Source organism: Homo sapiens, chromosome 4 (assembly GCF_000001405.40).
Source record: "Homo sapiens chromosome 4, GRCh38.p14 Primary Assembly".
Lineage (NCBI taxonomy): Eukaryota > Metazoa > Chordata > Mammalia > Primates > Hominidae > Homo > Homo sapiens.
Window position 1 is genome coordinate 99411490 of NC_000004.12, and position 24967 is coordinate 99436456.

At 36.8% G+C, this 24967-nt stretch overlaps 1 protein-coding gene across 2 annotated transcripts, besides 5 other annotated features; it reads right to left on the reverse strand.

The window, feature by feature from the left end:
* Nucleotides 1-773: 773 nt before the first annotated feature.
* On the reverse strand, nt 774-23853 carry ADH7 (alcohol dehydrogenase 7 (class IV), mu or sigma polypeptide). Of its 2 annotated transcripts, none has more exons than NM_000673.7 (9): nt 23727-23853; nt 18043-18144; nt 17003-17141; nt 16598-16685; nt 16284-16500; nt 9044-9304; nt 7497-7632; nt 3989-4127; nt 774-1683 (listed from the first exon to the last, which is right to left on the reverse strand). In NM_000673.7, the coding sequence occupies exons 1-9, from the start codon at nt 23742-23744 to the stop codon at nt 1659-1661; spliced, it is 1125 nt and encodes a 374-aa protein (NP_000664.3). In that variant the 5' UTR covers nt 23745-23853; the 3' UTR covers nt 774-1658. The 2 variants fall into 2 exon arrangements, with proteins under 2 accessions (NP_000664.3, NP_001159976.1); NM_001166504.2 differs by lacking the exon at nt 23727-23853 and adding an exon at nt 23538-23645.
* Nucleotides 23766-24339: a promoter, noted in NCBI's record as "-495/+79 promoter". NCBI's record gives the evidence for it as "EXISTENCE:reporter gene assay evidence [ECO:0000049][PMID:9703017]".
* Nucleotides 23875-23899: a protein binding site, noted in NCBI's record as "AP-1 footprint A". NCBI's record gives the evidence for it as "EXISTENCE:protein binding evidence [ECO:0000024][PMID:9703017]".
* Nucleotides 23901-23914: a protein binding site, noted in NCBI's record as "C/EBP footprint B". NCBI's record gives the evidence for it as "EXISTENCE:protein binding evidence [ECO:0000024][PMID:9703017]".
* Nucleotides 23946-23974: a protein binding site, noted in NCBI's record as "C/EBP footprint C". NCBI's record gives the evidence for it as "EXISTENCE:protein binding evidence [ECO:0000024][PMID:9703017]".
* Nucleotides 23946-23974: a protein binding site, noted in NCBI's record as "C/EBP footprint C". NCBI's record gives the evidence for it as "EXISTENCE:protein binding evidence [ECO:0000024][PMID:9703017]".

Genomic DNA, 24967 nt, shown 5'->3' on the forward strand with positions numbered 1-24967 from the left:
TTTGCATATTACTTTTAGTATCCTTATTTACATGTTTTTCAAAATTTGAGTCAGGAGACATAAAGGAATTAATCCATTCTACATATTTTTCTTGTTAAAAATGCTTTTTTGGGGGGCAGTTTTCCTTCCTTAATGGATTCTGAGATCCTAGCTACAGATATTGCTAATGGACAGAGGAAATGTCTCCAAATGATTCTTGGATAGAGATTTTCTATACTTATCTATATCTATCATCTATCTATCTATCTATCTATCTATCTATCTATCTATCTATCATCTATCTATGTATCTATTTATTGACATAAATATAGATATATATATGTATACATAAAAATATAATTCTTATAAGCTGTAAATATTCATAGTGTTTTGAGAATTGCCATAGCTAAACTCAGCTGATGATGAAGATACTTCAAAATAATTATTTACACTTTTCAGCTATTTTTTTTAAACCTAGATTAAGCCTAGATTGACAAACTGGTAAAAGAAAAAGGAAATTTTACTCCTCGAGTTCATGCCACTTTTCACTGGGAAATATTCATCATGTAAAAGTGGTTCATAAATACCTGGACATTTTGCAATTTACCATGGTAGAAGTGTCCAATCTATATTATGCCCTAGCATTGGAAGCCTCAATTTCTGCTATGACCACCCAACTTCTTATATGTCTTATAAAGTATTTTTATGTTTTCAGGCGCTTCAACACTTTGTTTATAACAAATAAAAGCTTAATAACAACATATGCCTGTTTAAAAATATATCACCACAAAACATTTTATATAATTTTTAATTTTCTTAAGAATTTTTAACATGTTATAGATATATATAGATACATCAGTGTAGTTGTTAAAAACTAAAAACACTTTTTATTAAATGGAGTCACTACTAAGCACAGTGAATAGGGACTTAGGGACTTGCAATTCTACTGTATCAAATTGAACATTATGATAAGTATGATAATATGATTCTAGCTCTATGTTTATATTCAGTATTACAAAAGGAATATTTTCTAAAATATTAATATATGCTGGCAAATAGCCTTGTGTACCCATATGATATACTTTTTCAGTTTCACCAAGTTATGTAATGATGATTCTTAATCGTTGAAAAATGTGCCCGTCCCTTAATCTTTTCTGTCTTTCTTAATCTAATCCAGTAATATGCATCATGGAATGAACTGATTTCAAAATGTAATCCAACTTAACTCATAACAAGTGTTTAAAAAATACATTTATATTCAAATCTAAAAAATAATAGTTTCAATGTGTTAAGTGAATATTACTCTAGGAGATGCATTTACTATATCTTTATACGCTATATCTGTTTTGAGTTATATATCTGCAGCAGCTGGTTAAAACTCTTAAAAATCTCCATTTCAACATAGAAATCCAAGTGTATGTTTTCTTAAAAGATACAATTATAGCCTTACAAAATGTAAATCAAAAATATTAACATTGTTATTATACTAATTCCCAGGTGCTCACAAGACTTTAAATGTTTATAAAGGTTAATAATTCTTTATAAGGGTTCTATGTCTTCAACAAATCTTCTACTTATGCTTGTATTTGTGAGACAGATACATGATTTCAGATGAGGGAACTCTCACAAGAGAAACTCCAGTTCACCATGACAACACAGACCTCCTGCCACTTTGGATCTCAAAACGTCAGGACCGTTCGAATGCTGAAATGTAAAATGAGAGTTTTTAATGACTTGTTTTCATATCTTTCAAGAAAGGATAGTTTAAACAATTGTCCTTTCTATCTGTCATAGAAACTTCAAGTAAATTCTGTTATTGGAAATCCTCTGGGCTCAAAGTCCTTAACAATTAGTTTTCTTTGTTACGCAACTCTGATAAGGGTATCTGAGCTAATTCTGAAAGCATCAGTATAATTTCAGTATGCCAACAAGAGGGAAGTGGTTTCCAGGTTGAGGAGAAAGCATGAACAAGCCTAGGAACATGTGAACAGGAAAGGTAATCCAATATGTTTAGATTTCTGGGTGCCCAAGAGATCCTGCAAGTAGATGAGACCTACTTCCCTCACTTTATCCCAAAAGCCTGCTGCAGAGGGTGATAGAATGAATGCCAAATTCTTAACTGTTGAAACAAAATAGGTTTTAGTTCAATAATAAAGGCTTTCAAAACCATGCTAAGACATTGGCATTTTGGCAAAACTTGAGCTTGGCAGCTTAGTGAAAGACTAACTGGAATGTATTTTAATACAGAAGGTGGAAAACCTATTATCTCACTACCATGTCCATGTCAGAAATGATTAGACTGAATTAAAGCAATGAGCGTGGGCAATGAGATGAGGGATTCTGAAGGAGAAATCAAGGGTTGCATCATCAAGGCTTAGAATTGGTTTGTATGTGGTAGGCAAGAGTGAAAAAGAAGTCAGACATGATGCTATGGCTTCTCATCTATAAAAGAGGAACGCATAATATAATGACTGAGATAAAAATTACTGGCGAAAAAATATTTCCAAGTGGGACATTCAAATAGAGCTGTGCAGGAAGTAGGTGGAAATTGAAGAGTTTAGGTTTACAAATGTTAGTTTGGATGTCCCTGCTTTAAGGTGATATTTGAAGCAAAATTCCTGAAAGCAGAATTTATGTTTCTTTGGAAAACAAATAGTAATTATTTTCCAAGCAGGCCATACTAAGCTGTTAGTTTTGCTTATCTGAGTAAAGTAGTACTGAGTGGTTCTGACAGTTTTTCTTACAAAATCCCATTGTTTACTTGCTTAAAAAAATGTATGTTCATAATATGATGATCCTGTAGGCTAGACCAAATGTGGAGACAAGACACAACATTGAAAAATCTCTCAGGTAAAAAAAAAAATTAGTAAAAATTTGGATCTCAATATACAGTTCCTTTTACTAATGAAATCCACGTCCTTGGCACATAGTGGAAGCTCAATAATTATTTATAGGCCCAATGAGTGAAAGTCATTTCATCTTGTAGACAGGCTTTTTGATTGCTGTTTGAGACCTCCATGAGGTAGATGTTGTAGATAAAATTTGCATGAATTCATACTTGACCTCTATCCTTGCCCAACCCTCAGAAGCAACAAGAGTAGTAATCATCACACCCATGTTTACCCAAAGCTTGCCAAGCTCTGTCAGAGAAGTTTGTTATATGGTCAAAAGAGCACAAGTTTTGCAATTAGTTTATATCCTGGCACTACCCCAGGAGGTTTGACCAGTTATTTATTTGCTTTCACAACCTTGGTCTTCATCTAAAAATGGTAAAAATAATACCTGGCTTACAGGGATCTGAATAATGCACATTTGAGAAAGCACTTTGAAAACTGTAAAATAAGGAAATTTTGTGGCTTACTTGAAATAAATAGCAGCTTTATGATGAAATAAAAATAGCCACAATGAAATCAACTAGGTAAACAAAATCCAAAAGATTTTAAAAAATTGATTAATATAGTACAATGGCATACTAAGTTGGTGATATGGTTAGACTTTGTGTCCCCACCCAAATCTCATCTTGAATTATAATCCCTATAATCCCTACATGTCAAGGGAGAGACCAGGTGGAGGTAATTGAATCATGGGGCAGTTTCCCTCATGCTGTTCTCATGATAGTGAGTGAGTTTTCACAAGATCTGATGGTTTTGTAAGGGGCTCTTCCCGCTTTGCTCGACACTTCTCCTTCCTGCAGCCTGTGAAGAAGGTGCCTTGCTTCCTCTTTGCCTTCCACCATGATTATAAGTTTCCTGAAGCCCCCAGCCATGCTGAACTGTGAGTCAATTGAATCTGTTTGCTTTATAAATGACCCAGTCTCGGGCAGTTTTTTTTTTTTATAGTAGTATGAAAATACACTAATGCAGTGGGTAAAGAGAAGTAATTAGCTGTATCAATCTGGCTAGATTAAATAATTAGAAATAAAATATGAAGAAAACAGGCACATTTATAAGTACTAAATTTTAAAAGTAGCCTGTGGAGAAGAGACAAGATCATCATAAGAAACAGTTACCTTTGTCCTGAATTGAGCAGCTCAAATCCTTCACTGATTTTTTTAAATGGTAAAACATGAGTTATCAACTGGTCCAGGTCAAATTTCTTTGCCAGGAACTCAGTCACTAGTTTTGGGACATCATCTCTGCTTTTCAAACCTGCAAATAAGCACACATTTTCTCTTTAGACATTACTAAATAATCCTTATCTTTTATTATGTTATATTTATTCCTTCTCTTTCCTGCACTATGACTTTCCCTGTGTTAGATCATTCCCAGCAGTGTACAAATAAGCTGTATTTGTCCCAGCATAAGAAACAAAAGTTATGCAGCCATAAAAAAGAATGAGTTCATGTCCTTTGCAGGGACATGGATGAAGCTGGAAACCATCATTCTCAGCAAACTAACACAGGAACAAAAAACCAAACACCGCACGTTCTCACTCGTAAGTGGGAGTTGAACAATGAGAACACATGGACACAGGGAGGGGAATGACACATACCAGGGCCTGTCGGTGGGTGGCAGGCAAGGGGAGGGAGAGCATTAAGACAAATACCTAATGCATGCGGGGCTTAAAACCTAGATGATGGGTTGATGGGTGCAGCAAACCACCATGGCACTTGTATTCCAACGTAACGAACCTGCACGTTCTGCACATGTATCCCAGAACTTAAAGTAAAATAAAAATTAAATTAAATTAAAAAGAAACAAAGGTTAAAAAAACTCTTCTGATACCCACATCTCCTTCCAGTCACCCCATATCTTTGCTTCTATTGCAGAGAAACTTCTTTACTTTACAGAAAGAATTGTCTTCAGTTCACTGTTTCTGGATCCTGTTCCTTTCCTCTCACCCTCTCTGAGCCCACTCTGATTACGCTCTTGCCCCCAGCACTGTCCTGTAATGGATATCATCAAGGTCATCTTTGAGCTCCATTTTGACCCAGACAGGGGTCATTTCTCAGTCCTCCTCTTATATGAACTGTTAGGTATAACTGATACTGTTGGTGGCTCCCCTTTTCTGAAACACTCTGTTCCCTTAGCTTCTAGATACTACATCGTCATCATCATTGTCACTTTCCTTGCTCACTAGTTACTTCTTCCACAGATCTTTGCTGGGTCCTCTACATCTCCCAGACCTCTAACTCCAACGATTCCTAGGGCTTGGTCCTTGGTCCATTTCTGTTCTTTATCTACATTTACTTCTAGGGTGACCTCCTCTGGTCTTGTGGCTTTCGATATACTCCTCTTAAAATACTTAGGTTTCTATACCCATCCTAAACCTCTACCTGTACTACAGACTCATAGCCAATTGCCTACATTTTATAGACATCTTTATTCAGGTATCTCACAGGTACCTGCACAAGTGTAACCTGCCCCAAACCACTCCTGGTTTCTACCACTTCCACCCTAGCCCCCAATCTATTCCTTCTATAGTCTTCCTTCTCAATAAATGATGATGGTGACATGATTCCTGTTGCTTAGGCCCAAAAATCTTGGATGCTACTCTTTTTGCCATACAATAACTATTTCGGCAAATTTTGTTGACTCTATCTTCAAAATGTATCCAAGAGCTGACTACTTCTCACCAGCCCCATCACTCCAAGCCAGCATCCTTTCCTTCCAGCATTATAATGACTTCTTCCATGCTCTCCCTGCTTGTGCCCTTTGCCCCATTTAGAGTATTCCCCATAGAGCAGCCAGAAGGAGAGTGTTAAAATGGAAGTCAGATCAGGTGACACCTCCCTCAGAAGCCTCTGTGGTTTTATTTCTCTCTCAGAATAAACTCCTAAAACCTTGCAATGGCCCAAAGGCCCCATATAATTTAAGGTCCTCTGACCCCAGCTGTGACTGTTCTTCTGTCCTCACTCTGTTGTAGCCATACTGACCTTTTCCCCGTTCTTATGGTTCTTGCCAACACCCTGTTGTATTTACTACGTCTCCTTCCTGGAATATTCTTTCCCAAGATTTCTGAATATCTTATTTATGTTTTTGCTCCAATGTTACCTTATCAAGGAGGCCTTCCTTGAACTTTATAAAATAGCATTCACCTCCACCTCCACCCCAGTCCTCTGGCACTGCCCGTTACCCATCCTTTATTATTATCCTTTGCACTTGTAACCTTATGGTATATTCTGCATTCATTTATTTATTGTCAGTCTCTCTATACCAAAGTGAGAGGATTCTCACACTTCCTGAGATCAGGGACTTGGTATGTTTTGTCTCTTCTCCGTTCCTAGCTCCTGGAATGGTACACTATGTACACAATGGTACCTGTACTCAGTATACACTCAACAAATATTTGCTGAATAACTGAATTTTACCTCTAATATTCCTGAATAATCTATAATCTTCCCACTTCCCACAAATAGTCAAAGCAAGGAGGTTCAACTTCTTATATCTCTTATTGTTTTGTTCTTCAAGTTTCATTTTCCCTGAAAAGCCTTCTCTATAAAACCTCATCCATACCAACTAGCCTCTTGCTTTTTTATGCCCCAAGTAATGTTGCAGAAAGAGGAAAAACTTTGTTCTCCCATGGACCAGCTTTAAATCTCAGTTCTCAACTTGAGAGCTATAGGGGCAAAAAACTTAATAGTTCCAAGTCTCAGTTTTATTATTCATTAAGTAGCTTCCTCAGAGAGTTACTGAGAAATAAAATAAACTTCAAACACATTAATGTAAAACTTTTAACATAGAATAAATGCTAAAAAACTCCTCTTATAATTTGTTTTATAATATTTATAGCTGCACTTATTTTTATATTCTTTCTTTTATATTTGTTTTTGTATCCTTCGCTACATTATGTACTTCTCTAAGTGAAGAACAATCATTTTCTCCTTTTTATACTCTTAACAAGTACTTGAATAGTTACTATTCTCTTATATTGTATAAAGCAGACTCTAATATTGGGAGTACCTTCAAAGCACCCAGTACAACTCTGTATGAAGGCACTAGAAAACGAGACTTTGTGAAGGAGGGAAAAAAAAGGACTCACTGTGTCACCTACCTTGAGCAGAGTGGCCCTGGCTCCATCTCTCCTAAAACAATATTAATTGTTGAGTGATAATCTAAGTCCTTCCAGTGTGAATCTGAACTGTTCCCATAAAATGTGACAATCCCTTTTGTTGTTGTTGTTGGTTTTGGCTTTGGGTCCAGGATTTTTGTTGGTGCTATTATGAATCGAATAAATTCACTTTAATACACATTCTTGTGTATATTAATAATAATGGATTAAATCGGAACTTCCTGTTACATAATTCATCCCTATAGAAACACTACTGGTGTCTCTCATTCAGGCCTTTGGGGAACTTGAGTTGCAGATGTTAATATTAAAAATGCGTCCACCAATATTAGTCCTACATCAAGGTGAGGAGTGGAGAATTATCTTTTGTGTTATTATGATCACAGTTCCATTTTAGATCACTTCATACTCATTCTTGGAAGAAAGGCCTGAGGAAACAGGCTTCTCCCACTTGCCAAGCACCAGAGTGAAAGCCATCACTCCCCATCCAGAGGCTTTGCTTTCCTGACCTCCAAAGACACATCCCTTCCATGTGCGTCCAGTGAAGAGCAACATCGGGTCATAGGTGAGCATCTTGGCTGATGGAGGAACTCCTACAACCACGCTGGTCCCATAGTTCATGTGGCAGGATGCCAGGGCATCAATCTGAGTTTAAAACGGAGGAGATCGTTTGCTTCCTGTGTCTCTTACAGTGTGACATAAGCTCTGAAATGACCTATGTACTATGACAAAGTCATGAAATTAAATTAAGCCACCTTGTTTTTTACTTGCTTTAAAAAAATTTCAGTGCAACTTTAGTCCTTAATTAAATTTCTATACACATTTGCCCTTTAAGGCAGAAACAGCAATCAATGTGGTCAGTGTTTGTGGCATTTTTAGTGTACCATGCACTAAAATACAAGGGAAATTCTTGTGATATTTTCATACCAATATCACCACTTCAGATAAGCCTTAGAAAGCCATTTGAACCAAACTAAATTGAATTAAGTATACCAAATCATTTAGCGTAGTTTTTTTTTTAAGTTTAGTCTTAAAATTAAATAAAATACTAAAATGTGGGACAAAAGAGTCCCTTTTCTTGGGAGCATTTCTGAGACTAACCTCACATTTTCTGGTCATTAACCCATCCAGTTATTAAGCAATAATTTAATACTTGCTAGATTGGAGCAACAGATGGCATTGTTTTTAGAGACCAGCCTTCATCAAGTAGCAACTGGAAATCAGTAGGCTCTAATGATATATCCAGTATCACATATGGCTTCAAAAACTTATGACCTAGAATGCTATTTGTTGATATGAAATAAATCTAAGTGATTCACTAGGAAAGAAATATGACAGCAATGATAAATTAAGGACTATTTATTCTTAAATTACCAAAAGCATTAAGGTGAGTTAATCTGCCACTCAATCTTGAGCAAAAGTGGCTTTATTCCATTTTTCCTAGTCTCTTTACGCTATGCCAGGTTGGAGCTTTCTAGTTCCAGGAATCTCAGATCTGTTTTACAGGTCTAACTGAAGGTCTGGTGCTGCGGGCTGCCATACAGGTGGCATGGTTAGAAAATTGAAGGTTCATATTCTAAGGGAATTCAGATGAGGGCAAACAAAGCTCAGATGTAAAGAGTGAGAAGGTCGATGGATCACAGATTTGGGGGAATAGACCACAACATTTGGAATAATCCCTTTTCACCTCTCCTCAGTCACCTTCTGATGCTTACTTTGCTGACATTCAAGAGACAGAATTGCTTTCGCCAAGAAATCTACATATACAAGGAAGATCCTACTTAAAACAATTATCTAGAAGGGTTGACTACCTTGCCATCTAGTCAGCTGAGAGTGGTATGATATGGTATTTAACTTTGGTCCAGTGAACCTGCTCTTAAGTGTTTGACTTTTTAGGCAAAATTGCTATGTGATTATCAGTTTTTGCCTGAGTAAAACTGACTATCGCAGAGATATTTCCATTATTGACTATTAATAAAGTTATAGACAATTAAATTTACCTTGTGCATGTCTAATAACTTGGGTATTTTGTGGCTTCTCAAATTTTGGGTCTTACCATGGTTTCAAGATGCCCAATAACTTCAAAGGTGTATCCCACGTTGTTGCCTGTCATTTCTGACAGCACCTCACTGATGGGTTTGGTAGAGTCCTTGGGACTGATACACTCAGTGGCACCTACAGCCATGGCCTTCTCAAATTTGTCTTTGTTGAGGTCAATCCCAATGATCCTAGATGCACCAGCTGACTTACAGCCCATGATGACTGACAGGCCAACTCCTCCCAGGCCAAAGACGACGCAAGTGGAACCAGGTTTGACCTGTGGAGAGGAATGTTCTTGAACATGTTAGGTGTTAGGGTCAAAAAGTGAAACCTGAAAAGGGCCTCCAGTTAAAAACACAAATCATGAGTGAACTCCCATTCACAATTGCTACAAAGAGAATAAAATATCTAGGAATACAACTTACAAGGGATGTGAAGGACCTCTTCAAGGAGAATTACAAACCACTGCTCAAGGAAATAAGAGAGGACACAAACAAATGGAAAAATTCCATGCTCATGCATAGGAAGAATCAATATCGTGAAAATGGCCATACTGCCCAAAGTAATTTATAGATTCAATGTTATCCCTATCAAGCTACCATTTACTTTCTACACAGAATTAGAAAAAAACTACTTTAAATTTCATCTAGAACCAAAAAAGAGCCCATATAGCCAAGACAATCCTAAGCCAAAAAAACAAAGCTGGAGGCATCATGCTACCAGCCTTCAAACTATACTACAAGGCTACAGTAACAAAAACAGCATGGTACTGGTACCAAAACAGATATATAGACCAATGGAACAGAACAGAGGCCTCAGAAATAACACCACACATCTACAATCATTTGCTCTTCAACAAATCTGACAAAAACAAACAATGGGGAAAGGATTCCCTATTTAATAAATGATGCTAGGAAAACTGGCTAGCCATATGCAGAAAACTCAGACTGGACCCCTTCCTTACATCTTACACAAAAATTAACTGAAGATGGATTAAACACTTAAATGTAAAACCCCAAACCATAAAAACCCTAGAAGAAAACCTAGGCAATACCATTCAGAACTTAGACATAGGCAAAGACTTCATGACAAAAACACCAAAAGCAATTGCAACAAAAGCCAAACTTGACAAATGGGATCTAATTAAACTAAAGAGCTTCTGCACAGCAAAAGAAACTATCGTCAGAGTGAACAGGCAACCTACAGAATGGGAGGAGATTTTTGTGATCTACTCATCTGACAAAGGTCTAATATGCAGAATTTACAAGGAACTTAAACAAATATACAAGAAAAAAAATGAAGAACCCCATCCAAAAGTGGTCACAGGATATGAACAGACACTTCTCAAAAGAAGACATTTATGTGGCCAATAAACATATGAAAAAAGCTCAACATCACTGATCATTAGAGAAATGCAAATCAAAACCACCGTGTGATACCATCTCATGCCAGTCAGAATGGCGATTATTAAAAAGTCAGGAAACAATCGATGCTCGTGATGCTATGGAGAAATAAGAACGCTTTTTACACTGTTGGTGAGAATATAAATTAGTTCAACCATTGTGGAAGACAGTATGGCAATTCCTCAAGGATCTAGAACCAGAAATATCATTTGACCCAGCCATCCCATTACTGGGTATACACCCAAAGGAATATAAATCATTCCACTGCAAAGACACATGCACACGTATGTTTATTGCAGCACTATTTACAATAGCAAAGACTTGGAACTAACCCAAATGGCCATCAATGATATACTGGATAAAGAAAATGTAGTACATATACACCATGGAATATTATGCAGCCATAAAAAGAAATGAGATCATGTCCTTTGCAGGGACGTGGAAGAAGCTGGAAGCCATCATTCTCAGCAAACTAACACAAGAACAGAAAACCAAACACCACATGTTCTCACTCATAAGTGGGAGTTGAACAATGAGAACACATGGACACAGAGAGGGGAACAACACACATCAGGGCCTGTTAGGAGGTGGGGGGTGAGGGGAGGGAACCTGGAGGACGAGTCAACAGATGCAGCAAACCACCATGGCGCACGTATACCTGTGTAACAAACCTGCACGCTCTGCACATATATCCCATTTTTTAATAGAAGAAATAAAAAATCATAACTCTGAGTCATTTGTAAATAAATTTAGATACAAATATAAATTTTAGAAATTTGAATCAGAAGGAGATGTGGAAGAAACAAAAATTAAATCTAGAAACTTCATTTTCAATTGCATTTCTTGATAAAGGTTTTTCTTTTAATAATGTATTAGGTCAAAGATTCTTTTTTTTTTCTAATAAAATAGACCTATTTTATTTTTTTTTCTAATAAAATAGATCTATTTTATTTATTTATTTATTATTATTATTATACTTTAAGTTTTAGGGTACATGTGCACAATGTGCAGGTTAGTTACATATGTATACATGTGCCATGCTGGTGTGCTGCACCCATTAACTTGTCATTTAGCATTAGGTATATCTCCTAATGCTATCCCTCCCCCCTCCCCCCACCCCACAACAGTCTCCAGAGTGTGATGTTCCCCTTCCTGTGTCCATGTGTTCTCATTGTTCAATTCCTATCTATGAGTGAGAACATGCGGTGTTTGTTTTTTTGTCCTTGTGATAGTTTGCTGAGAATGATGGTTTCCAGCTTCATCCATGTCCCTACAAAGGACATGAACTCATCATTTTTTATGGCTGCATAGTATTCCATGGTGTATATGTGCCACATTTTCTTAATCCAGTCTATCATTGTTGGACATTTGGATTGGTTCCAAGTCTTTGCTATTGTGAATAGTGCCGCAATAAACATACGTGTGCATGTGTCTTTATAGCAGCATGATTTATAGTCCTTTGGGTATATACCCAGTAATGGGATGGCTGGGTCAAATGGTATTTCTAGCTCTAGATCCCTGAGGAATCGCCACACTGACTTCCACAATGGTTGAACTAGTTTACAGTCCCACCAACAGTGTAAAAGTGTTCCTATTTCTCCACATCCTCTCCAGCACTTGTTGTTTCCTGACTTTTTAATGATTGCCATTCTAACTGGTGTGAGATGGTATCTCATTGTGGTTTTGATTTGCATTTCTCTGATGGCCAGTGATGGTGAGCATTTTTCCACATGTTTTTTGGCTGCATAAATGTCTTCTTTTCAGAAGTGTCTGTTCCTGTCCTTTGCCCACTTTTTGATGGGGTTGTTTGTTTTTTTCTTGTAAATTTGTTTGAGTTCATTGTAGATTCTGGATATTAGCCCTTTGTCAGATGAGTAGGTTGCAAAAATTTTCCCCCATTTTATAGGTTGTCTGTTCACTCTGATGGTAGTTTCTTTTGCTGTGCAGAAGCTCTTTAGTTTAATTAGATCCCATTTGTCAATTTTGGCTTTTGTTGCCATTGCTTTTGGTGTTTTAGACATGAAGTCCTTGCCCATGCCTATGTCCTGAATGGTAATGCCTAGGTTTTCTTCTAGGGTTTTTATGGTTTTAGGTCTAATGTTTAAGTCTTTAATCCATCTTGAATTAATTTTTGTATAAGGTGTAAGGAAGGGATCCAGTTTCAGCTTTCTACATATGGCTAGCCAGTTTTCCCAGCACCATTTATTAAATAGGGAATCCCTTCCCCATTTCTTGTTTTTCTCAGGTTTGTCAAAGATCAGATAGTTGTAGATATGTGGCGTTATTTCTGAGGGCTCTGATCTGTTCCATTGATCTACATCTCTGTTTTGGTACCAGTACCATGCTGTTTTTGTTACTGTAGCCTTGTAGTATAGTTTGAAGTCACATAGCGTGATGCCTCCAGCTTTGTTCTTTTGGCTTAGGATTGACTTGGCGATGCATGCTCTTTTTTGGTTCCATATGAACTTGAAAGTAGTTTTTTCCAATTCTGTGAAGAAAGTCATTGGTAGCTTGATGGGGATGGCATTGAATCTATAAATTACCTTGGGCAGTATGGCCATTTTCATGATATTGATTCTTCCTACCCATGAGCATGGAATGTTCTTCCATTTCTTTGTATCCTCTTTTATTTCCTTGAGCAGTGGTTTGTAGTTCTCCTTGAAGAGGTCCTTCACATCCCTTGTAAGTTGGATTCCTAGGTGTTTCATTCTCTTTGAAGCAATTGTGAATGGGAGTTCACTCATGATTTGGCTCTCTGTTTGTTATTGGTGTGTAAGAATGCTTGTGATTTTTGTACATTGATTTTGTGTCCTGAGACTTTGCTGAAGTTGCTTATCAGCTTAAGGAGATTTTGGGCTGAGACAATGGGGTTTTCTAGATATACAATCATGTCATCTGCAAACAGGGACAATTTGACTTCCTCTTTTCCTAATTGAATACCCTTTATTTCCTTCTCCTGCCTAATTGCCCTGGCCAGAACTTCCAACACTATGTTGAATAGGAGTGGTGAGAGAGGGTATCCCTGTCTTGTGCCACTTTTCAAAGGGAATGCTTCCAGTTTTTGCCCATTCAGTATGACATTGGCTGTGGATTTGTCATAGATAGCACCAGGCCTGCCCTAAAAGAGTTCCTGAAGGAAGAACTAAACATAGAAAGGAACAACCGGTACCAGCTGCTGCAAAATCATGCCAAAATGTAAAGACCATCGAGACTAGGAAGAAACTGCATCAACTAATGAGCAAAATAACCAGCTAACATCATCATGACAGGATCAAATTCACACATAACAATATTAACTTTAAATGTAAATGGACTAAATGCTCCAATTAAAAGACACAGACTGGTAAATTCGATAAACAGTCGAGACCCATCAGTGTGCTGTATTCAGGAGACCCATCTCACGTGCAGAGACACACATAGGCTCAAAATAAAAGGATGGAGGAAGATCTACCAAGCAAATGGAAAACAAAAAAAGGCAGGGGTTGCAATCCTAGTCTCTGATAAAACAGACTTTAAACCAACAAAGATCAAAAGAGACAAAGAAGGCCATTACATAGTGGTAAAGGGATCAATTCAACAAGAAGAGCTAACTAACCTAAATATATATGCACCCAATACAGGAGCACCCAGATTCATAAAGCAAGCCCTGAGTGACCTACAAAGAGACTTAGACTCCCACACAATAATAATGGGAGACTTTAACACCCCACTGTCAACATTAGACAGATCAACGAGACAGAAAGTTAACAAGGATATCCAGGAATTGAACTCAGCTCCACACCAAGTGGACCTAATAGACATCTACAGAACTCTCCAGCCCAAATCAACAGAATATACATTTTTTCAGCACCACACCACACCTATTCCAAAATTGACCACATAGTTGGAAGTAAAGCTCTCCTCAGCAAATGTAAAAGAACACAAATTATAACAAACTGTCTCTCAGACCACAGTGCAATCAAACTAGAACTCAGGATTAAGAAACTCACTCAAAACCGCTCAACTACATGGAAACTGAACAACCTGCTCCTGAATGACTACTGGGTACATAACGAAATGAAGGCAGAAATAAAGATGTTCTTTGAAACCAATGAAAACAAATACACAGCATTCGAGAATCTCTGGGACACATTCAAAGCAGTGTGTAGAGAGAAATTTACAGCACTAAATGCCCACAAGAGAAAGCAGGAAAGATCTAAAATTGACACCCTAACATCACAATTAAAAGAGCTAGAAAAACAAGAGCAAACACATTCAAAAGCTAGCAGAAGGCAAGAAATAACTAAAATCACAGCAGAACTGAAGGAAATAGAGACACAAAAAACCCTTCAAAAAATTAATGAATCATGGAGCTGGTGTTTTGAAAGGATCAACAAAATTGATAGACCGCTAGCAAGACTAATAAAGAAAAAAAGAGAGGAGAATCAAATAGATGCAATAAAAAATGATAAAGGGGATATCACCACCAATCCCACAGAAATACAAACTACCATCAGAGAATACTACAAACACCTCTACGCAAATAAACTAGAAAATCTAGAAGAAATGGATAAATTCCTTGACACATACACCCTCCCAAGACTAAACCAGGAAGAAGTTGAATCTCTGAATAGACCAATAACAGGATCTGAAATTGTGGCAATAATCAATAGCTTACCAACCAAAAAGAGTCCGGGGCCAGATGGATTCACAGCCGAATTCTACAAGAGGTACAAGGAGGAACTGGTACCATTCCTTCTGAAACTATTCCAATCAATAGAAAAAGAGGGAATCCTCCCTAACTCATTTTATGAGGCCAGCATCATCCTGATATCAAAGCTGGGTAGAGACACAACCAAAAAAGAGAATTTTAGACCAATATCCTTGATGAACATTGATGCAAAAATCCTCAATAAAATACTGGCAAACCGAATCCAACAGCACATCAAAAAGCTTATCCACCATGATCAAATGGGCTTTCATACCTGCGATGCAAGGCTGGTTCAATATATGCAAATCAATAAATGTAATCTGCATATAAACAGAACCAAAGACAAAAACCACATGATTATCTCAATAGATGCAGAAAAGGCCTTTGACAAAATTCAACAATGCTTCATGCTAAAAACTCTCAATAAACTAGGTATTGATGGGACGTATCTCAAAATAATAAGAGGTCAAAGATTCTTAATTCCTTGAACTCCAATTTACTTGTGAAATTTCATGTGATTAACTTAAAATTCCAGGGATCCTATCTAACATCACAGTTGATGGAAAAATGTATACTGAGAAATCAGTTTTGGTGAACAGTAACAGCATTACTGATAATAGGCAACAAACACTACTGTATTTTATTTCTGATACGCATTATAGGTGGTAATCAAAATGATTAATGATTTTATTGCTCTTTATATTATCTATAACAGGTGATCTGACAAAATTGTACTTTTTTCTGAGAAGTTGGTAATGTACTTACTACTGTATTTTGTAGTTATACAATAAATCTTACTTAGCTGACAAGAAACTAGGAGTAAAAGCTCTGACAAAAAGCCTCTGCTGTAACTAAAATACTGAGATTGTCCTATCTTAACAAACTTAACATATGGGGAAGGGGTATATTTTAAAGATGGAGAAATGATGCAGTTTGCAAATATAGTCAATAAATATTCTCAAGTGTAAAAAGAAGAAATAAAATTTCTAATCTGAATTTTTTATTTTTCTTTTAGTTGATTTGGCATTGTGTTGCTTGGCAGCCTGAATATGCAATACATTCTTTTAAATGTTTTTTTTTTTTCCAAAACTCTTCAAGATTCCAAGCAAATCATTTAAGAAAAGGAAAGAAGAACAAATAAACTAGCCTACCCTGTTTCTTACCTTGCCAGTTTTAACAGCAGCGCCATATCCAGTGGAAAACCCACAGCCAATTAAACAGACTTTCTCAGGAGGAGCTGCATCATCAATCTTAGCAACAGAAGATTCATCCACCACTGTGTACTCGGTAAATGTACTGGTGTTCATGAAGTGGTGGACTGGTTTGCCCTTGCATGTAAATCTGGTGGTGCCATCAGCCAGTACTCCACGACCAGTAATACTGTTTGATACATCAAATACACGTATTAATTAATTCAATTCAAAAATTAGCATAGGAAAAATGTAAATACATTAAAGTAAAAATGACTGAAACCTACTCGCTCCTAATGCAAAGGTTGCCATCTGGGTTGCGACAAGCATTGCATTCTCTACATTGTGGCAGAAAGAGAGGGATGACTTTGTCACCTACAGGAAAAAAATCATGATATAAGATGCTGTTCATTAATGTTAAAATATGAAATTAACAAATGTGAATTGAGCCCATACTATAGGTAAAACTTTTAAAAATATATTCTAAGGTTTATAAACACCGTAAGGTTTGCCTTCTAAAGGTTGAGGTTTTGCCAAATTAAACATTACTCAGTAAAATCCATTCTTGTATCCTTTTAATTCCCTGAATTGTGTTAAGGATCCCTCTAATAATTCCTAGTGTGTGCTATTTCCTTTGATAGGCTAATCAAAGCCTAATTATTTCAAACTTGTGGTTTGACACCTGCATATACCTGGTTTCACTGTAGTCACTCCTTCTCCAATGCTCTCTACAATCCCAGTTGCCTCATGTCCCACAATCACTGGAAACTTGGACACCATTGTTCCTTTTATCACATGGTCATCTGTGCGACAGATTCCTGTGGCCAAAATCTGTGTTCAAAGACAAAAACATTGCACCAATCAACAAACTGATCATTTCACTGTTGGGAGAATATTTAACTTCTTGAAGAAATTATAATTGTTTAATCAATATCTTTGCCTAATATAACAACATTTACTCTTAGACTATTCTGAGCCAAAAATCAACCATCAGACAAGATCCCTCTCTGACGGAACTTATAATATTGCTCCCTTATACCCTAGGTTGAATCTTGGTGCCTGTCTGTAGTAAATTGGTGCTCTTGTGAGGGAACCAGAATACAGATGTTACTATGTGATGGCCCCAAAGTAGATTTTTATAGCTAGGCCCTTATTGGGCTCTCTTAACAAAGAACAGAGGAAATGGCATGCAAGAAGGTAAGCAAAGAGCAAAATCTTCCTGCTACTGTTGTGCTCAGGTAACAGTAAGAGGGTCAAAGAAAGATTGGTAGCAATGCCTACTCAACAACTGGTGTCCAAAGCCAAGGTTAAGCTCTGTCCAAAGAAAGGGAGGAAAACGTTCCACGAAGTTGTCATTTCTCCAGGCACAAGTGAGTTCCTCATTCTTTGCAAAAAGTAACCTCAAAACAATCTGACTCCCAGAAGATTTTAAAAGAAGTCTTTAGCTATGATTATTAACCATTTTAAATTAGACACTATATGAATAAAAATTCAACAAATCAAAGGTATAATAAAGCATGTTAGCACTGTTGTTTTTTAAAAGGATAATGAACTCATTAATTTCACATCGAGTACAACCAGATCCTTAACAATATATAAGAGCCAGTAAAGGAATTAATACTCCAAACATGGGAAGCATCTCCTTATTTAAGAATCCAGCCTCACAACAGTGCTATATTCAATATAAGTTTGATAACGCTTTTGGCTTAAGTTCTCTAGGGCTCACGCTTACCTTAATGCGAACTTCTTTAGTCTTTGGTGGGGCAACTTCTATTTCCTCAATGGAGAAGGGTTGCTTCTGCTCCCAAAGCACAGCTGCTTTGCATTTAATAACCTAAGAAATAGGCAAGTATTATAATGGGTCTGAATTATGCCTTTAACTTACAGACTCCCTGACTAGTATAAATATGAACAGAAGAGCATATATAATATTTTAAGTTTTCCAGAATGATTTTCATCAAACACTAGTATTATAAGCCTTATAAATCATCTTGTGTGTGCCTTTGCTTAAGGCATGAGAAATGCAGCCCAGAGTGACTAAATGATGGATCCATGGTCACCTAGCACATGACATGCAGAGCTGGACTAGACCTGAGGTACTTTTCCCAACTTATTGATTTTTGTTTGCTGTTCACATAACACCCCCACCCAAAAATAGGTTATTTTGTTACAATTTCAAATCTAATAGATTAACAAAATTGTCCTTTGTGTATCGCTTATTCACAAGAGACAAATTTATAAAACAGAAAATGCTGCTGACTTGTCTGTAAGAATTTAAACCAGTATTTAATAGCTGCATATAATCACATAGCAATGGTGAAGAAATTAGACTATTAGCATGGTAAGGATGAAGAGAACCATGAACATCATGAAGCATACAGATTATGACTGTGAGTTCCTGGATGATTGAATTTGTGTCTGCATCTCTGCATCCCATTTGCACCTAGCCCAGTTCTTGCACCTGGTAGGGCTTGATAGGCAGGTTAAAGCTTGTCATCTTATAGTAGTGGACACTAGGTGTGGAGATACCAGTGACTGGCATCCAGTTGTTCAACTGGTTTTGCTGTAGTTATTCAATTAAATGGTTTTGCTAAGATTATTGAATTATGACAGAGAGAGAGAGACAGAGACAGACACACATAGAGAAATTGTTTCCACCTTCCTACCTCCCAATCTGTCTAGGACTCCTATAAAATATTTTAATTAATTTGTTCAGATGCAAAATAAGTTACCTTCAACTTGTCAACAAACACAACAGTCCTAGAGAGCTCTTATGGATTCTTAAGTGGCTCTTTTGTAAAAAGGTTAAATGTGAAAAATGATACACTGGTAACAGATGGGCGGCTGAAAGCCATCAGTAGCTCAATTTAATATTTACCCTCTGCCTTACTAATGAAAATGTTATGGGTTACAGTGTAATATGGCCCAATGTTGACGTTAGAAATCTCACACCACATTCCCAAACAAATTCAAGCTGGATTCATTGTTAAGATTTTTATTTTTTTATTATTTTTTTTTAGACGCAATCTTGCTCTGTCGCTAGGCTGGAGTGTAGTGGCGCAATCTGGGCTCACTGCAACCTCTGCCTCCCAGGTTCAGTGAGTCCCCTGCCTCAGCCACCCGAGTAGCTGAGACTACAGGTGTGTGCCACCACGCCCAGCTAATATGTTTTTGTATTTTAGTAGAGACAGGGTTTCACCATGTTGGCCAGCATAGTCTCGATCTCCTGACCTTGTTATCTGCCCTCCTCGGCCTCCCAGAGAGCTGGGATTACAGGTGTGAGCCACTGTGCCTGGCCCAAGATTTATTTTTAAAGTCAAACTATTTTATCAATCAGTGAAGATGTAAATATTGATCATACTGAGCATGGAGTAACTTTTATGCTTAAGAGTGATAGAAAAAATAACAAAGGACAAGCCATGGGGAAAGAATGCTCTACTTAATAAATGGTGCTGAGGTAACTGGCTAGCCATATGCAGAAGATTGAAGCTAGACCCCTTCCTTATATCATACATAAAAGTTAACTTAAGATGTGACTTAAATCTAAAACCCAAAACTCTAAAAACCCTGGAAGATAACTTAGGGAATACCATTCTGAACATAGGACCTGGTAAAGACTTAATGACAAAGATGCCAAAAGCAATGGCAACAAAAACAAAAATTGACAAAAGGGGCCTAATTTAACTAAAGGGCTTCTGCACAGCAAGAGAAACTATCAACAGAGTACACAGACAACCTATAGAAGTGGAGAAAATATTTGCAAACTATGCATCTAACAAAGGTCTAATATCCGGCATCTATAAGGAACTTAAACAAAATAATAAGCAAAACACAAACAACGCCATAAAAAACTGGGCAAAGGATATGAACAGACATTTTTCAAAACAAAACATACTTATGGCCAACAAGCATATGAAAAAATACTCAACATCACTAATCATTAGAGAAATGCAAATCAAAACCACAATGAGGTACTATCTCATATCAGTCAGAATGACTATTGCTAAAAAGTCAAAAAACAAACTGGTGAGGTTGGAGCGAAAAGGGAATACTTATGCACTGATGGTGGGAAGGTTAATTAGTTCAGCCACTGTGGAAAGCAGTCTGGCCATTTCTCAAAGAACATAAAACAGGATTAACATTTGACCCAGCAATCCCATTATTGGGTATATACCCAAAGAAATATAAATCATCCTACCATAAAGACATATGCATGCGTATGTTCACGGAAGCACTATTCACAATAGCAAAGACATGGAATCAACCTAAGCGCCCATTAATGCTAGACTAGATAAAGAAAATGTGGTACATATTTGCCACAGAATACTATGCAGCCATAAAAAAATAAGATCATATTCTTTGCAGGGACATGGAAGGAGCTGGAGGCCATTATCCTGAGCAAACGAATGCAGAAACAGAAAACTAAATACTACATGTTCTCACTTATAAGTGGAAGCTAAATATTGAGTACCTATGGACACAAAGAAAAGAACAATGGACACCAGGGCCCATTTGAGGGTGGAAGGTGGAGGGAGGGTAAGGATGAAAAAACCACCAATTAGGTACCATGCTTATTATCTGGGTGACAAAATAATTTGTACACCAAACCCCATGATACACAATTTGCCTATGTAGCAAACCTGCACATGTACCCCTGAACCTAAAATAAAAGTTAAAAAAAGTCATAAAGGAAACAGCTTCTAAGAATTAAAATTTTGTGTGTTGAGAAATAGTAAATTTTCCACATTGACATCAAATAGTACTGAGGGAAAATATTAAATAGATAAAAGTTACCACATTTGATAAATACAATGCTTACTCAAATTTACAGAGGAAGTGTTAACAACTTCACTCCTAACACTCCTTCCCACTTCCACATACCACACTTACATCCTGGGAGATACATAGCAGGCAAAGGACCTATGGAAAAAACTGCAACAGATTAATGAATAGATTGTGACATGTTTGTTCTCACTCATAAAAACGCCTTTTAAAAAAATAAAAATGAGATACAATTCTGTGCCTATCAAGTCTGTAATGAATTAAAAAAAAAAATTTTTTTAAGACAATATCACACTCTGTTGCCCAGATTGTACTCTAGTTCCTGGGCTCAAGTGGTCTTCCCATCTCAGCCTCCCCAGTTAGCTGGGACTACAGGCACAAGCCACCATGCTCTGAAAATGACTTTTTACTTAATGAGAACTTAATGAGAATACACAGTATTGTCAGATAAATGGTAAAATGGGCCATCTTACCTATGTCAACCCTTTAGAAAGTAATTTGCATGGTACATCAAGATATTTAAGGATGTTGTGGCATGTTTACCCATGTAATTCCATTTTTAAAGGCTACCTCGAAGAAATATTAATTTTAGAAAAACCTCTCTATATAGCAGATGTCATCACAGCACTATTTACAAAGGAAAATACATAAACAATAATAGAGGAATGATGAAATAAATTGTGCTAAATGCAGAAATTAGACATTTAAAAATGTTTATAAATTGTTATAAATTGAAAAATGTTTAAGATGGAAAAATAGGATAAAATATTTGTATATTGTATGAGTACAGCTACATAAACTATGGATGGAAAAATAGAAGGAAACACACACACAAAAATGGTAGTTTGGGGATGTGATATTATGATTGATTTTTTTCCTTCATATTTTCTGACCTTCCAAATTTTCTAGAATAATCATTGGTATGGGATGAATTGTGTCTCCCTCCAAATTCGTATGTTGAAGTCCTAACCCCCCGTACCTCAGAAGGTGACTGTATTTGGAGATGGGGTCTTTCAAGAAGTAATTAATTTAAAATGTGGTAATCAGGGTGGAACCTGATCCAATATGGCTGGTGTCTTTATTAGAAGGGGAGATTAGGAAAAGGGAAGATCATGTGAAGACAGCGAGAAGAGGGTCATCCACAAGCCAAGGACACAGGCCTCAGAAGAAACCAACCCTGATGACACCTTAATCTCAGAATTGCAGCCTTCAGATGTACAAGAAAACAAATTTCTGCTGTTTAAGCCACCCAGTCTGTGATATTTTGTTATGGAAGCCCTAGGAAACTAATACAGTTATCTTTTACTTTTTTAATGAAAAAGAAAACATTTATTATAAAGAGAAAAAATCAATCCCAATGTAAAGGGAAACTCCTTTCAAGAGCTACACTGGAACACTACAGAAAGTTGGGAAATATATAATCCTTAGGCAAACCACACTATTGCATGACCATATATCAAAATCATATAACTTTTATACTCTTTATATATTATATACTGTATTATTAATTGGAAAGTGCTGCCTTGAGGCTACTTTCTCCATCATCAGAAATGTTCTTACAGTGGATGAATATCGACTTCCTAGAAATAGTGTAACCAGACCTGAAGCATCTGTTGGGTGGTAAAAGTTGCAAATTTTTAAGATTCCTTTCAGTTCTAAGATTCATTAATATCCATGGGTAGAGTTGCTAGTTTCTGTAGTGCAAAATTAACTTCCCAAGTAATCTAGTTTTGCTGGATTTCTGACCCAAATTAGGATGGTTTTATTCCAGTTCTATCCAATTCTAGTAAAACTTATTTCAAATTCTAACATCATAGAGTCTCCTGACTTGTCACATTACCCAGACTTCTCATGTCATCTTTATTTTTCCAAAACCTTAAGCAAGCTAAATGCAAAATTGTTCAAGTTAAAACAAAACAAACAAAAAAATTTAGTCCTTTAAGCAATTATGTACCCATTTAAAGTAAGGAAATATACTGACCTATTTTCAAATAAAAAAAAACAAAGCAAAGCTGTTTCTAAAGTTAATACCAACTCTGCTAACTCTGTTGTTTTTAGAACGATAAACATACTTTACCAATAATATAGTCTTGATTTTAAAGAATTTTTAAATATATATTTTGATAAAAATTACATTTGTAAGAAACCTAAAATTCATGACACTTTCTTGGCCATTTTGCATCCCAGAATTAGCATTTTCCATTCTTAATGGCAGGAACGTTTCTTCCAACATCTGGGCATGAGACCCTGGTTTCCCATTGAACTACTGCAGCGAGTGCAGCACATGCTACTGAGACGATTGAAGTGTCCTTGTGGAAACATTTGGCTTCCTGGAGCAATTGCCCAGCTATCCGGAAATCAAATTATGAATAATGCCAATATAAATCAATTTCTCTATTTTCCACCAATGTCTTGCTGACATTGGATATACTATTTCCAACTTACCCCTGCTTCCACTGACATTCTCTGAAACACCATATCCAGTGTTTCCCTCACTGTATGCCTGCTCACCAAGCATTTCATTCCTCAAGGAATATCTCCAAGTGTTTAATTACTTTAATGGATTCAAAGTTCTAAGTATCAGCCTCACATCATTAGGTCATGATGAGGAGGGGACAGAAATGTTCCACTTACTTTTCCAGCAGTGCCCATCCTGTCTTTGTCTTGGATCTGTATTTCTGCAAACATAGACTTTTTCTGACTGATGCTCAGTTCACTCTGTTGTATATAACAGCAGCTTGTGCCTTCACATAGATAGTCTGGCTTCAGAGTTCCACCTTCAGCAATATGACTCACAGCCGTCACAACTTTGCAATGGTCTGCAAGCCCTACCCTTTGCAGACCAACTTATAAAAAGAAATACAGTAACTACTATGATCAAACCAAGAGGAGGGATCTAACAAAAACAAGATAATCAAAGCTATTGAAAAGGGCTGAAAGCATTCCTATCCACCTTATTTTGAAGGATATAAAAACGGGTTAGGTTACTTCACTTCAACACAATCATGAAAAATGTATTGGGTGTTTAAGTGCAAGCTGCTTTGCCTAGGCATGGCTGATTTTAGAGATGCGTGTGTACATCTCTACTTCTTAATGCTCTACTTCATTCTGCAAAGACTTGATGTGGTTTCTGGAATTAAATATAAATGAAAACAGAGCCAAGGAAATGTAAAATAATTGCAACAGTAGGTCAAGTTTGGGCAAGAGAAGTTGAGATGATATAAAATATCAATATGGATGACTATGGTTTCTAAGTATTTTAGGTGTAGAAAGTTAAGTGAAACTTTCTGTGTCTGCACTTAGAGAAATTATCATCTGACTCCAAATCCCATTAACCACAGAGTTGCCTCATATGGTTGTACAGTTTGTTTACGGCACCAATGTAACACAGTGCAGGGGCTCAAGAGAAATTGAAATCCAGCCTGCATACTGGCTATCGAATGCCAGAGGGTTTTCATCTACTTGGGCAAGTACCTAGGTCTTCTTGAGTAGCTGTTTAACCATTACAGACCATTATTTCTTAATATAAGTTGCAATGGCTCCAGAAGCTTCTGGATCTATTATTTGATAGGAGAATGTCCAGTATAGATGTTATTTTTGACAGTAGATGGTCAGCATACTGGTACACCAGATGGTCAGCATACTGGTACACCATCACCTCCAAGAAAACTTTACACAAAGGATATTTTACTTTTGTTAAGTGATCCAGTGAAGCAGGTTTTCTAAGTCTTCAGACAAAGCTGTTCAAGCTATGAAGTCCAGAACCTGGACTCTTAACAACCCAGAGATGAAATTTGCTAAGAGTTTATTTTTCAGATACAAACAAAAGTTTCTTTTCAAAAATAAGTATACATTTTTTCCACACATCTCTCTTT